This window comes from Homo sapiens, chromosome 11 (genome assembly GCF_000001405.40).
Source record: "Homo sapiens chromosome 11, GRCh38.p14 Primary Assembly".
Classification (NCBI taxonomy): Eukaryota; Metazoa; Chordata; class Mammalia; order Primates; family Hominidae; genus Homo; species Homo sapiens.
In genome coordinates this window covers 15,244,123-15,259,324 of record NC_000011.10, presented here as the reverse complement: position 1 = coordinate 15,259,324, position 15,202 = coordinate 15,244,123, and the positions used below count along the sequence as shown (strand labels likewise).

Genomic DNA, 15,202 nt, shown 5'->3' with positions numbered 1-15,202 from the left:
TTCCTGTCAAACAAACTCCAGCTATTAACAATTTGCTTTCTTGTTTTTATTAAGCAGCAACAAAATCTAATGACTGCTAGAGCTTTTGATAGGGTGTATCCAACAAGCCCCAAACAAAGGAACTTGTTATCTTAGTTATCTGAGCTTCCTCCACTGGGCTCCTGGATCTCAATTTACATCTTTACAGACTCCCCCACAGATCCAGAGAACTGAGTTGTATTGGAATTTGATTCTGGAAAGATGTCCACACAGTAACTTTGTATCTAGAGCCCAGTGGACCAGGAGCTGACAAGATTTTCTTTCCTGCTACACAAAGAACAGAGCAGTTGCTGAGTTGAGCCCTGAAAACAAAGACCTTGTTTTGTATTGTTACCACATGGTCCCTTCCTCTCTCTTTGGAATTTGACAAGCAAATTGGCATTTGTGTTGCTGAGACTATCATAGAATAGTGATTGTTAATTATACCCTAGATGTCCTGCCTCATTCTGTCATGGTTGTATTATGCTAAACGTGTGCAGTGAGCAAAAGATCTTAAATTTGATTTCAAGTTGCATATCTCAGCATGCTGACACACCCGCCCCAGGTCAGAGAGTCCCTAAAGGGGCCTATTGGGAGTTCTCCTGCTCCAGAATTTCTGGTTCTAACTTACACCAGGAAGTATTCAAAGGGTCCAGCAGATGTCAGTATGAATTCTTGAGTCTCTCCTGGTTAAGTATTAACAGATCAAATTACATCACCCACTGCCCAGGCAAGCTGTCTTTAGACAGGATATTGTAGGAGCTTTAGCTTCAGAGACAGTCTTTTCTATGAAGATCTACTCCTCTAATTGGTAAAATTCTGACCTTACATCTCAACCCCAAAGCTGGATGAGCGATGCAGTCACAATTATAAAGAACCTTCAAGGGATGAGACAAGTGAATAAAGTGGCTGTTTCTAAAAATAAATCTCTCTCTATGCCAGCTATCTGTTTTCTTCTGCATAACTGGTCTTGATAGATTCTCAGCATCTTCAGTCTCTGACCCAGCAATCTCTTTCTTTATAACGAAAGAGAGGCAGGGCTTTAGGTTGATTACAGCTTTAGAACCAACAACCAGAGACAACACTGCTGTTCTTAGCTGTGCTGAGACACTCCTCTGAATATCTTTTTGATTCATTTTGGGATAGTTTATATATTTAAAAAGTATAGAGAATAATATAACAAACACCCGTATGTCTACTACCTAATTTAGCAACTAGCAACATTTTCCCATATATACTGCAGGTCTTTTATTTTATTATTAATGAAATAAAGGTCTCATATGCTCCTCTTCAATCCTGTTCCCTTTCCTACCTCTCCAGGGGTAGACATTGTCTTGAAGTTCATGTGTATCTTTCCCATGTGTTTTAGTTTCCTGGGGTTGCCATAGCTAAGTACCATAAGCCAAGTGGCTTAAGTAACAGAAATTCATTGTCATGCAGTTCTGGAGGCTGGAAGTCACAGATCAAGGGTGGGCAGGGCTGTGCTCCCTCTGAAGGCACTAGAGACGGATGGGCTCCAGGCCTCTCTCTAGCTTCTGGTAGTTCTTTGACTCCGGGCGGCATAACTCCAGCTTCACATGGTCTTCTCCCTGTGCATGTGTCTCTATGTCCAAATCTCCTCTTATAAAAAGGACACTAGTCATACTGCATTAAGGGCCCATCCTACTCCAATATGACCTCATTTTAACTAACTATTTCTGCAATAACCCTTTTTCCAGATAAGGTCCCATTATGAGGTACTGAGGCGGGGGGGTGGTTAGGAGTTCAACATGAATTTTGGGGGCGTAAAATTCACCTCATAACACCATCCATGTATTAATACTTTAACAACATATGATTTTTCCATAAACATAATTTAGTATCTTTTATATATTCAACTTTTGTATAAATGACATTGTACTATGTACATCTTTTATCACTTTCTTTTTCTTACTCCAACAATATGTTGAGATATACTTAGATGACAAACTTTTCAAATTTATTTATAGTATTTTATTTTATGAATTTACCACTACCAATCTCTTCTCTATACTAAAATTTAAAATATATACAAGGTTCAAAATGTCTTCCAATCAGTAAATAATAATGGATACGTGCATCTTGGGCTTGGATTAAATGAGCTCTCTGTTATCCTTGCCAAGACCATGTGGCTGTTTAACTGAACTTTTTGATCTTGCAATTTTATAATTTCAGGCCTCAGCAGGTTCTATCATTAAGGAAATAGCAGGCAATAAGAGGAGAGCCACTTAAATGTTGGAAAATACCATTAAATAACAAGAGAAATAAGACATTTTAATTGATAAAGAAACTTTAAAATTTGTATCTGGTTTGGGAGAGCCCTGGAATGACAGTTGAATGTCCCAAGCTCAAGGGATAGACATTTAGGAGGAAGGCAAAGGCCATAGATCAAGTGTGTGAGTGTCCACCCCGCCACCTTTACTCTTGTGGACTGGTCTTTGGGGAGGAGACCAAGCCCATTGTCTTTTGATGGCTAGTCACAGAGAGCAGCCAACCTTGCAGGCCAGGTGCAGTGCCTCACCCGTGTAATCCCAGCACTTTGAGAGGCCGAAGTGGGTGGATCATGAGGTCAGGAGTTCAAAACCAGCCTCACCAACATGGTGAAACCCCATCTCTACTAAAAATACAAAAATTAGCTGGGCGTGGTGGTGGGCACCTGTAATCCCAGCTACTTGGTAGGCTGAGGCAAGAGAATCGCTTGAAACTGGAAGGCGGAGGTTGCGGTGAGCCAAGATCTTGCCACTGTACTCCAGCCTGGGCAACAGAGCGAAACTCCCTCTCAAAAAAAAAAAAAAAATGAAATGAAATTTTCTCCAAGAACTGCCATACGAAAGTGCCAACCTGATAAGAGGCTGTGAACTTTCTCAGTTGGATTATGTGATACATTTCTCAAGATGCACCATCTAAATGGTGAACTTTTCAATTTAGAAGTACTTTAGAAGTATAAGTAAGTTCATTATTAAATTTTAACAAGTTTGAGGTTTAAAGAATAAATTTTTCAAAAACCATTGAAAATTAGCATGTCCCTTCCCCTACCCTTGTTCCTCAAGTCATGCATGGATTCTGCTGAAAGCACAGCGCAGTTGGGAATGGTGTGAGCAGCCAAGCCTGCAAAATGGGGCTAATGCCCTGAAAGCTGCTCTTTCCCCTGCCTTCCCTGTGAGTAGAAACACACTCATTCATATGTAGTGGGACTCCCATGCTCCAGCTGTCATGCATGATCATCATGGCTTGCACCAAAGTGAGAACTGGGTCTATTTTAAGAGTTGATGGTGGGATATGTCTGCAGTGGGACTGAATCAATCTCAGGGTGGAAAAGAAAGAGACCGTGGAGTTTACAAGAGAATGCCATGTTAACCACATAGGCAAACTGAAGATTCTTGTTTCTGTATGATGCCAAAATTTGAAAATAAACAAATACCCCTTTATAGATTATCCCTTTATAGACCCCTTTATAAAAATCCCTTTAAGGGTTTATATTTGGGCTGCACAGTTTCTTTTGAGGACCTCAAGTCCGAGACTAACACACACACACACACACACACACACACATACACACACTTACATATACATACATACAAATAGCCTCTTATTTCTGTTTTTATCAGTTATTGATAGCACCAAAAGTTGTATAAGAAGCCCCAATAAAAACTGTGTTAAAGAAGACAAGATTGTAGAAATAAATAGATCTCTACAAAGGAACCATCAGAAATATCTAACAAAAAGACATGTTAAAGCATTTGTTCCCAAAGGCTGTCATTGCTTTAAAAATTGAACTGATAATTTATAGCATCCACTTTGATTTGTCTTTGATGCTTTACTCTGAAACTAGAATAAGGAGTAGTTATTTTAGAGATTTTTCTGGTGTTGGTCAGAATTGCACAGGACTTTTATTTTCATTATTTAAGTTATATTTTATTCTCATGCCTATTCTCCTTCTCCCTGAAATAATTTTCATATCTATGACTGAAATTTTAACAAGTGTTAAAATATTGTGTATCTGTGCTTAAGAATTAACTAATTAAAATGTAAACTTTTTTTCAAATAGAGTTTGGAATTTGCCGAAGTATTTTAAGATCATATATAGTGATTGGGCTTATTTATACACAAATAAAATAAAATATATGTGTACCAAGTGGAATGATCATGGGTTTTGGTTTCAGAAAGTGTTTGATCAAATCCTGCCTTCTATTATATGATCTTAGGCAAGATGTAAAGTCTTTCTAAGCCTCAGTTCCCTTATTTGTAAAAAGGAATCAATAATAACTACTTAGCAGGAATTGTTTTAGAAATTTAGTGAAGTAGTACATATACAGTGCCTGGCACAGAACAAGTGCTCAAGAAAATGGCAACTATGGTAATAGTACGTGTTATTTCTTGGATCCAAGTCCCAGCTTTTCCATTTATTTGCTCTGTAATTTTAAGCCTGTTTCTTCTTTCCTAGGTGGAGGATGTAGAGATCAGCCTAGATGGCCTCTGCATCCCTTACAGATTAATAGTCTCTGTTTCTAACACACTATGGGCCTGCATCTGAAGCACTGTCAAGCAGGACCAGGCAACCTGAATAGATGCAAAGGTGGGATGTGGTTAACTTTCACTGTAACCACGTTTATTGAGCACTTGCCATTAGGTGCTATTTTAAGTCTTTTCCATGTATTACCACATTTAATTCTCACAACAATCCTATGCCTAAGGCACTATCATTATCCCATTTTACATATGAGGCAACTGAGGCACAGGGAGGTATGTGTCTTGCCCAAGATTATATAGTTAGTAAATGGTAGAGCCAGGATTCAAGTCCACAACAGTCTACAGTTTTAACCACTATACTTTAAAGCTTTTCTGAAGGGATTGGCTTATCTACAACTTGCCACCCTCTAATCTAAAATCAGAGGTAATCCTGGCACTTACTTATATTTGTTTTTCTTTCCTGAGCCTAGAGCAGACCTTCATGATATGTTTGCTGGAGGACAATGGCTCTACAAAGATCCAGCACCACATCTAGCTGCTAAAAAGTGTCTGGTACTAAGTCCCTACTTTCTTCCTAATTAGCTTCTAAAGTCAAAGAGATATGGATTCTATCCCACAACAGTATTAACTTTCTGATTACCTGACCTCTCTAAGCCTCTTCTCCATCTGTAATGGAGAGTATATGTGGAAATATAATAATAGCACCCAACTCACAAAGGTGAAAATGAGAGGTAACACTTGGTAAAATGACTCCATGTAGGAGGCACTCAATAAATACCATCAGCATTAGCTCCATACTTTGAGGCGAATTTCAAATGGAGCCACTGAGCTGAGGAAAGGCTCCTTCAATTCTTCCCTGTTCTGAGTTCCAGAATAGGATTCTTTGCCTCAGGGTCCCTGTTATGACTTCTTACCCAGAACATAGATATGGCCAAGTTCCCAGTCTACACTCCAAATCTCTGTTAAAATCAGTTGGACTTTGAGAGGGTCTCATCAGTTGAGACTGAGTCATGTCTCCTGCCTGCCCTAAACTGCACAGCCTGGAGAGGCAGGACAGGTCATTCTCCCACCTGCTATGGGCTTTAACTGTAAATCTCATCCAGGGCTTGACGTCACCCCTTCTTTCCTCATTTAAACTTTCCCTTTCAAAGGTTCCACCTTTCTGAATATTATTAAAAAAAAAAAAGACCCTGCAAATCTTTGGCTTGAGTTTTCCATTCAGTGTCCAACTTCCTTTTCTTCCTCCTTTTCTTTTGCTTGTTAATAAAGTTTCCTTTATGTGTAACACCATCTTTCCACACTATGAGTTTGTGGGTGTTACAAAAAGATAGCGTTGAAGGGACAGTAATTATTCTGAGGTTTAATATAGCCAGAGATAAGACATGATGGAGCTGTGGGTCGTCCGAGGGCAAGTCCTCTCATGAAGGATCTTACGTCGGAAGCTTATGTAGTGTCATTTGTGTCTCAACGCCTTTGAATAGGCTCTCGATTCCCTCATTCTTTGATCTTCACTTCTTATTCTTTTCTACAACTTATATTAGAAAATTAGACTTACACACTTTCTGCTCCCAGCCCTCCTTACCCCAAGCAAAAAAATTCAAAGGGCGTGGAATATTGTTATTAAGCAAGAAAGTTTATTTTCTTCTGTTTGTTGCATTTTCCTTTTATTCCCTTTTGAACTGTTGTTTTTGAAATCAAACTTCAGTGGTAATTTTCTCTTTACCTATATTCTTCTAGCAAATGCAATTATTTCTGGCTTTGTTCTACCACAGCTGGTGGCTGGCATGGTGAGAGATGTGGAGGGGAGTAGAGGGAAAAGGAGTGGGTTTGTTTTCAGTTCTGTATGCTCATTTTGATGGCAGTGGGACACAGGGAGATGGTGGTTGGGACCTGAGAGATATTGACACATTAGACTTCCTGAAATTGAGTGAGCAGTTTAGAAAGAATTTGGAGAACATGAATGTGACTAGTAAAGTAGCATATCAGACAGAAAAGCCTTGCTAAAAATATAATCAATGTGGTGGTTTTAAAATATGTCTGAAAATTCTTTGATAATTCATCCACTCTTCAAGCAGTGGAGTTTCATTCCCCTTTCCTTGAATGAGGGCTAGATTCAGTTACATGCTTCTAACTAACAAAATGTGTCAGAAGTCATCTAAGTGACTTCTAAGACTAGCGCATAAAAAGGATAGATTCTATCGGCCTCTATCTCTCTTGGATCACTCACTCTAGAGGAAGCTAAAAGCCATATCAAGAGGACGCTGAAGCAGCCTGCGGAGAGGCTCCAATGAAGAGGAACTGAGGCCTCCCACTACTAACCAGCACCAACTTGCCAGCCAGCTGAGTGAGCAACCTTGAAAGCAGATCCTCCAATCCTATTTGTGTCTTCACATGATCGCAGCCCTGGCTGACACATTTTTTAAAGTAACAGTTTTAACTGAGATATAATTCACATATCATAAATTCATCCTTTTAAAGTGTATAATTCACTGGATTTTCAGTATATTCACAGAGTTGTGCAACATTCACCATTAATTTTCATCACACCAAAAAGAAACTCCATATTCATTAGCAGTTACTCCCCATTCCTCCTCCCCAAATCCCCTGACAACAACTAATCGACTGCCTATTCATGAAGGCTTGGCTATTCTGTACATCTCGTATATTTGGAACAATACAATATGTTGCCTTTTGTACTAGTTTCTTTCACTTAGCATAATGTGTTCAAAGTTAATCACTGTTGTAGCCTACATCAATGCTTTATTTTTTATTGCCAAATAATATTCCATTGTATGATTTATCACATTTTTAAAACTAGTTATCAGCTAATAGACATTTGAGTTGTTTCTACTTTTGGGCAACTATGAATAATGCTGTTATGAACCTTAGTGTATAAGTTTTTGTGTGAACATACATTTTCATTTCTTTTGAACATATACCATGAGTGGAATTGCTGGGCCATATGATAACTCTATGTTCAATATTTTGAGGAACTAACAGAATGTTTTCCAAAGTGACTGTACTATTTTACCATCCCACCAGCAATTTTACCATCCCACCAGCTGTACTATTTTACCATCCCACCATCCCACCATACCATCCCACCAGAATGAAGTGGTACCTCATTGCAATTTTGATTTCCATTCCCTAATGACTCATGATGTTGAGCATCTTTTACATACCTTTTTACCATTTCTATGCCTCCTTTGGAGAGATATCTATTCAAATCCTTTGTCCAGCTATTAACTGGGTTGTGTTTTTATTGTTTAATTATAAGAATTTATTGTATCTGATATCAACCCCTTATCAGACATGTGACTTGAAAATATTTTTGCCTATTCCATGAGTTGCCTTTTCACTTTCTTATTGGTGATCTTTGAAGCACAAAAGTTTTTAATTTTGGTGAAGTCCAATTTATCTATTTGTTCTTTTGTCACTTGTGCTTTAGGTATTATAGCCAAGAAACCATTGTCTAACCCAAGATTATAAAGATTTACACCTATGTTTACTTCGAAGAGTTGTATAGTGTTAGCTCTTATACTTAGGTCTATCATGCATTTTCTGTTAATTTTTGTGTTTGGCATAATGTAGCTTTCCAGTTGGATTACTTTTGCATGCGGATGTCTAGTTGGAGTTTTTACAGAAACTCCAAACTCATTTTGCTTCTTCCAGGAGCTGCTAGCTTGCTGGTTTTCACAGCTATTATAGTTTTGAGGCTGCTGGTCTTTAAGAATACCCTGGAGCTGGGGAGAGAGGTATGAGAATGAGACAGGTTAAGCACTACAAAGCTCACTGTTCTTACAGAGATTCAGGCCTTTTTCTTTAGAACTTCTTGGATTATTGCAAGCCTTTAATTAATTTTCAAAGTTCTGAAAAAATTGATTTTTACAATCTTAAACAGTGTTCTCATTGCTTTTATGGAGAAGCAGATTTTGGGAGCCCTTGCTCTGCCATTCTGTAAATGCTTTCAACATCTTCATTAGAAACTTAGGAGAAATCCTGAGCCATATCCCCTCAGCTAAGCCATTTCTGAAAATCTGACCCACAGGAAATATAAGAATAAATTTGTTGTTGTTGTTGCTGTTGTTGTAGTTGTTACTGTTTTAAGCCACTAAATTTGAGAGTAATTTCTTTTGTTGAACAGATAACATGCCAAGAGATAGACACCAACACTAGGACCAACAGATGAATTTTCAGATTATGGCTTCATATAGGGTGAAACTTCATAATCCTAAGGACTGTCAAATAATAGAGAAAGTAATGACATTCAGTGGAGATGCGTGAGCAATAATGGAGGATTCTGTTAGAAGGGATACTATCAAGGGGGCCCAGCATAAGGAAAATGAAGTACTGGGTCATCTATGGAGTCCTTTCCAAAATGATGACAGTTATGATGATGACAACAACTTACATTTGCACAGAACTTTATAGTTTACTAAGAACTTCCATACAAATGATCTCGCTTAATCTTAATCCTAAACCTAAGAGGGAGATCAGGCAGGAGTATTATCCCTACTTTACAGATGAGAGAACAGAAGCTCATAGAGGTACAAAGCCCTGTCCAAAGTCAACAACAGTAAAGTGGTAAAGCTAGGATTTTTAACTCATGGAGGAATCCTCCTGATTCCAACTAGTGGTGACTCTTTCTCCATAGCATGCTGCCTAGCTATCCTAAAGAATCTGGGTGTACGGATTTCCCCATCTAGACACAGTATATAGATGTAGACTCTACTCAACCTGTGGGCTTCCTGAGAACCCAGTCCCAGCCTTAATCCTGTCCTAGGGCCTAGAGATAAAGGAAGATTTCAGGCAATGTGTATGCTTTAGGCCAAGAAAATCCTAACTTTTAATCAATCAGCCACCCCCCATTCCAACCTGATCTGTGTGACCTGAGCTAACTTGTGCTGCACCTGACCAGTGAGGACTTTATGCCCATGGCCTCAATCATGAAGGCCTAAGGCCACATAGCTGGCCAATGCCCTGCCCAGTATAGTAGTTGTCTTGTACAGAGTGTAGGTAGAGAGTCAGCAGGGTGAAAGTTACTATGGAAAAACCATGCGGCAGAGCCAAGGGCTGGTGTAGAAGATGGAGACTCTTCTACCTTTCCCTGGAGCACACTTCTGGCCACAGCCTTTGGTCCCATCTCCAGGAACCACCAACCACGCTGACTCCTCTCTTTATGGACCTCCTGTGATTTTGACAGTCTGCTGCAGTTGATTCAGCTCTGCACCAACTTCTGAATATCTCTATCTTCCTTTCTCTAAGGCCTGGGACAGGTAGTTCCCTGAATATCTGTATCTTCCTTACTTTGAGGCCCGGGACACAATCTACTTCCCTTTCACCAGGTGCTGCCATCTCCTACTCCATCCTTCCTGGTTCTTCTTTCTGAAGCAAGGCTCCAAGGAGGGATATTATTTGCTTCTACCTATAACCCCCCTATCTTCTCCTTCTCTAAAACAAGTTTCATAAATCCTGTTACTTGATGGTTTGCTTCAGGCCCAAAGTAATACTGGTTGCTTTTCAGAGGAATAAGAAAGGATGTAGACTTTTCTACCTGTGCCTATTATTCTCAGTTTGGCCCCATCCTAACCTTACCCAGATCCAATCTCTACTCTTCTCTGCCCTGCTCTCTTCTAAAGAGGCTTGTTCCAGAGGATTTCATAACTGGCTCTTACCAGAGTACTAGCCAATGGGAGGCACTGGAAGGAGGTCAGAAGGTGAGAAGAGATGGTCTGGGTACTTCTGTCCTTCCTCCCTGCCCAGACTCCATGTCACTCACAGCGGCTGAGTCCTTATGGCTCCCACCGGATAAGCCCTTCTGCCACAACTGCAGCTGTCAGTGGACTTTGGTAACACTATTATCTCACTTGACCCTTCTGCTCTTAGGATGGTAAGGGCTTACCTTGGTGGTTAGTCTCTGGGTGACTCAGCATCCCTCAATAGCTTCCTTAACTCGGCATTCAAGTCTCCAAATAGTCTCTTTACTAAAACTTTTGTTATTTGAACCACCTGAGTTAAAGTCTGTTTCCTACTAGGCCCCTGGTTGATATACATGCACCTTCATAATAAAGGTTGCAGTGTAGAAATTTTCAACATTATATATTATCTGAAGAGCTACTCTCCTTTAATCTCTTCCAGTTCTGTGATATTAGCGACCAACTAGCCTGATATTGAGGAATGGGCAGAACTTTGACCCTGAATGCAAAAGGCTGCGATTTAGTCTTCATTCTGTATGCTTTGGGGAAAAATCATTTGCTTCCCCTCAACACCGGCCTCAGTTTCCTCACCATAAAATTAGTATTAAACTAGATCAGTGATTCTCAAAGTAGGGCCCCTGATCTCTGGGGAGTCCTAAGACACATTCAGGAGCTCTGTGAGGTCGAAACTATTTTTATAAAAATACTAAGAAGTTATTTACCTTTCTCCACTTATTGACATTTGCACTAATGGTGCAAAAGCAATGGTAAGTAAAATTGCACCTTAATATGATCAAGGCAGTGGCACCAAATTGTACTTACAGTTATTGTATTCTTCACTGCCACACACTTAAATTTTTAAAATGCCAATTCCACTTAGGAATATCCTTGATGAAGCAGTAAAAATTATTAAGTGTATTAAATTCTGACCCCTGGTACATGCCATTTTAACTATTCTGAGTGATATGAGAACTGCATTTCAGGCACTTCTACTGTATGCCAAAGCAGAATGCGTGTCAGTTTCAAGAGAAAGGCACTTATGTGATTGTTTCAATTGCAGTATCAACTAGTTGCTTTTTCTGTGGAACACTACCTTTACTTGAAAGAACAATTGACAAACTGTGGTTATTGAGACTGAGGAGTTTGGCAGATATTTTCTCAAAAATGAACAAAGCGAGTCCGTCTCTTCAAGGGAAACAGCTGACAGTATTTGTTGCCAATGACAAAATTTATGCTTTCAAGCTTGATAGTTTCCCAATATTTAAAAACTTTTCAGATGAGATCATAATGATATTAACAAAAGTTGTCTGTTGATATCATATAATGAAAGTTGCCAATATCTGAACAATCTGCACAACTCAGTGAAATATATATATATATATATATATACCTTATTTCTAAAAATGGAAGCTTTGTATAAGGACTCAGAAGACCTTGGTTTGAATCCAAGGTCTGCCATTTTCTTGCTACTTCAGCTCCATTGTTGTATCTGTAAAATGAGTTTCCTCTGTTTCTTCTCTGTAAAATGGGTATGTAGTAGTAAATGTTAATATCTATACTGAGAATAATATAAAACAAGTCCATGGCACCTGGTTAATGTTGCACAAGTGTTTTCTATCGTAATAATAATAATCATCATCACATTAGGTGGGAGGACCTAGACATTACCTTTGTATATAGCATATGACTTCAGCACAAAGGCTTTGGTAATAGCTATTGCCAGAATCAAATCCTAGCACCACTTACTAGCTACTGACCTTGTGCAAGTAATTTAATAACCTGATCATATGTAATAACATATATGAATATACTAATTAATACTCATGTGATTATTGTGAGGAATAAATTGGATAATGCAAATTAGATGCTTAGCCCAGGACTTGGTTCATTAGGTTAACTCATGTAAACTAGTAATTGGGAATTTAAGAAATGTTTATTGAAACATTATTATAATCATGATTTTACACAATTATATTATATTGTATAAATTATATCACAATATGATGGCATTTATATTTTCAAAAGGATCCCCAGATTTTTGTGATACTTTCAAGCAGTGAAATTGGTAAACCAGCTCTCTCTAAAAAAAAAAAAAGCGAAAGCTGTGCTTTATAGCATCTGTGAATTTCTGTGGTGTAAATACTCCCACTATGGCCAATTTCAACATGAGGGCTCATGAAGTAGCTCATGGCTACCAACGCAAGGTCACTGAGTGCAGAGTTAGGAAGAAATTCTCACAGTTGTCCCTTGTGAGTGGGCATGAGCTGGCTTCAGCACACCACTGCTTTCAAGTATACTTTTGAGGAGGAATCAATCATTCAATAAGCCTCATCTGAGGATTCTATTCACCAGGAGGTGAACAGGAGGTTACACAAAAGCAAAGAAGCCAAAGGAAGCAGGGTTTCTGGTGCCTTTGGGTGTATTTTTGAAAGTCACTTTGGTTTCTCACTAAGTCACTCAGAACTTAACCTATTTATACACCTATGAAAACAAGACAATTCTGTGTGTACTTTTAATGGTTGGAAAAGTTTTTGGGGAATGAAACCTGGGAAGCAAGAACCTAGTTTAAAATACAATTTAATAAGAAAATCCGGGATACATTTTATATGATTCCATTTATTAAAGAAAAAGAAACTTCTTTCCAATATATTCTACCCAATTATTAAATTCATTTTAGATTTTTGGGAAGAGCAAATCCAACTTAAAAAAAAAACTTGCTAGGCAGTTGAAATCCTCTGGTTCCAAAGTTTTAAAAAATGAGGCAAGATTGTATAGTGAGAGTAGAAAAAATAAGATGAAGTGGAATCACCCATGACAATTTGTCATATTTGTCATTACGAATTTCAACATCTGCAACTGAAAAGCTACAGAAATCAAAAAATAAAACACAAAGAAGATTCTCAAGGACCAAAGACTGTTTGATGATGTTGCTCTAAGATTTTGTCCTCCATTTATTTCACACAAAAATAAGTTAAGTATAAATAAGAAGATGAGGAGAGCTGGTATGTACTCAGATGTGTTCACTGGTGCATAGTCAGAGGGGGTGTGAGAACAGCCAAATGTATTTCTTCGCCCACACTCACTACACAAAACTCTCCTCCATGTTGCTGCAGAGTAAGAAGGAGTCCACCAGCCGAGGCTGGACCAACTGCTGAAAGTCAGAGTCCTGGAGGCCTTCAGGGCAGACCCCAGCCAATCTACGCAGAGCAGCCTGGGGAGAAGACAGAAGAGGTGACACGTGTCAGACTGGGCCATGTCAGGTACATGTATTTCCTTCACCTACCCTGAAATGTGCATTTCAGAAAGTGGTGCATTTACCAGACAATTTGGGTTGATCATCATGTTAGCCACTTGGCATCTCAGTCACCATCTTGGTCACCTGGTCAACATAGCAACCACATCTCTTGGTCAGCTAGCTTTATTTGCACCTTGATCACTAAGATAGATGTCATCTGAAAGCTGTTAATAATCTTAATAATGGTCTTTATTATTTCCAGATCCCTAGAGTAACCTTAGAACAGCAAGAACTATTCATTCATCCATAAATTCAGCAAGGTGCTATAGAAAGCACTATGGAAAAAAGAGGAAAAGAGAGGGAGAACATATTGTAAAAGTAGACAGGGATTCTGCTACTGAGAAATTCAACACCTGGCAAGGGGGATGAACAGGAAAGAGAGGTGCTGGCAGAATAAAATCACTCCCCAGCTCCCCACACAATGAGCAATGAGTATGCTATTTCTATTTTGTGTCCATGTGTCCTTGCTCATATTCTTAATCTTCAGCCCAATGCTCTACCTCTGAGCTATACCCCCTCCTCCTTGCTCATACTCTTACTTGTGACTTGAAGTGACTTCCTGCTCCTGCCTATTGTCACCTCCCCCATGAAGGCTTCCCCAATTATCCTGAAGCAGAGACAGTCCATCCCTCCCTCCCCTGTGCAACCAGGGCCCCTGGGCTGACCTCAAGCTTCTCACACTTGGCCATAACTAGCTTTTAGGTATTTATCTCCCACACTAGACTCTGAGCTCCTCGAGAGTAAGGATCTTGTTTTCTATTTCTCTGTATCTATAGCAGACAACACAGAGGTTGGCACAGGGCTCAATAAATGTTGGCTGAAAAGAAATGAATAAACGAAGTGCTTTAATATTGAGATCTGCTGATAGAGCAACCTGAAACTAAATGTGAGCTGTGCACCTACCTAGACCTGTTTACCAGTTAACTGAGACAATGCATGCTAAGTGCTTGATAAATATTAATTTCTTCCCTCTTCCTGAGCATATACACAGCAGGGAACAAGGTGCCCCTCCTCTCCCACCCCTGGAAGCAAAAAGAGTGGGGGAATATCTAGAATGGCAAAAGAAGCAAAGAAGGAGGGAATGCAAACACTGAGAATCTCCCCATAGCACCTCACTTAATCCCTACATGATGCTGCAAGCTAAGTGTCATGATCTCCCTTTTGGAAATAAGGAAACTAGGGCTCAGAGGGGGAAAGTGGCCTTCCAGACATCACACAGGAGTCTGACTCCAGGGCACTCAGACCTATGCACACAGGTAGGATGCTGCAACCCCAGGATACAAGGTTATATTGAGCACAAGGCAGGGGTACCACTCATTACCTGGACATGGCAGGTAGCCTGTTGCTGAGAAATCAGGCCAACAAAGTGAAAAGAGAGGATAGTTTGAGCTGGTTGCTGGGAGTCACAGGTGCTGTCATGTCCAGGCCAGGTCAAAGAGAAGGAGCGTGTGTCTCTGTGCATTAATGAGCAGGGTCTGTGACCCTAGCAACAGGAAGTAGACTCCCCAGAACTGCCTCTAACACACACATCTCGACTCTCATGGGGCGTGGTTTACCCCATAGACTAACAAGGGTAAACTTCACAGCACTTTCTGATTCTTCTTGGCTCCAACTGGGAAAGATAACCCCATTTTCCCTGAGTTGTCACCATGAAAACAGAACCAGGGATTTTCTGAAGATGAGGAAACAAGGCCACCAATGCATT

General features: G+C 39.6%; 1 protein-coding gene across 10 annotated transcripts in view; it reads right to left on the bottom strand.

The window, feature by feature from the left end:
• Positions 1-15,202, bottom strand: part of INSC (INSC spindle orientation adaptor protein) — a 158,261-nt gene that overhangs the window by 10,352 nt on the left and 132,707 nt on the right. For 9 of the 10 annotated variants that reach the window (XM_006718227.3, NM_001031853.5, XM_017017697.2 and 6 more), the window contains one exon: positions 12,117-13,413. The exons of the other annotated variant lie outside the window; for it this stretch is intronic. In XM_006718227.3, coding sequence (XP_006718290.1) covers positions 13,285-13,413 — 129 coding nt within the window. In that variant the 3' untranslated portion in view covers positions 12,117-13,284. Of the gene's footprint in view, positions 1-12,116; positions 13,414-15,202 lie in introns of those variants that run through there. 10 annotated transcript variants of the gene reach the window in all.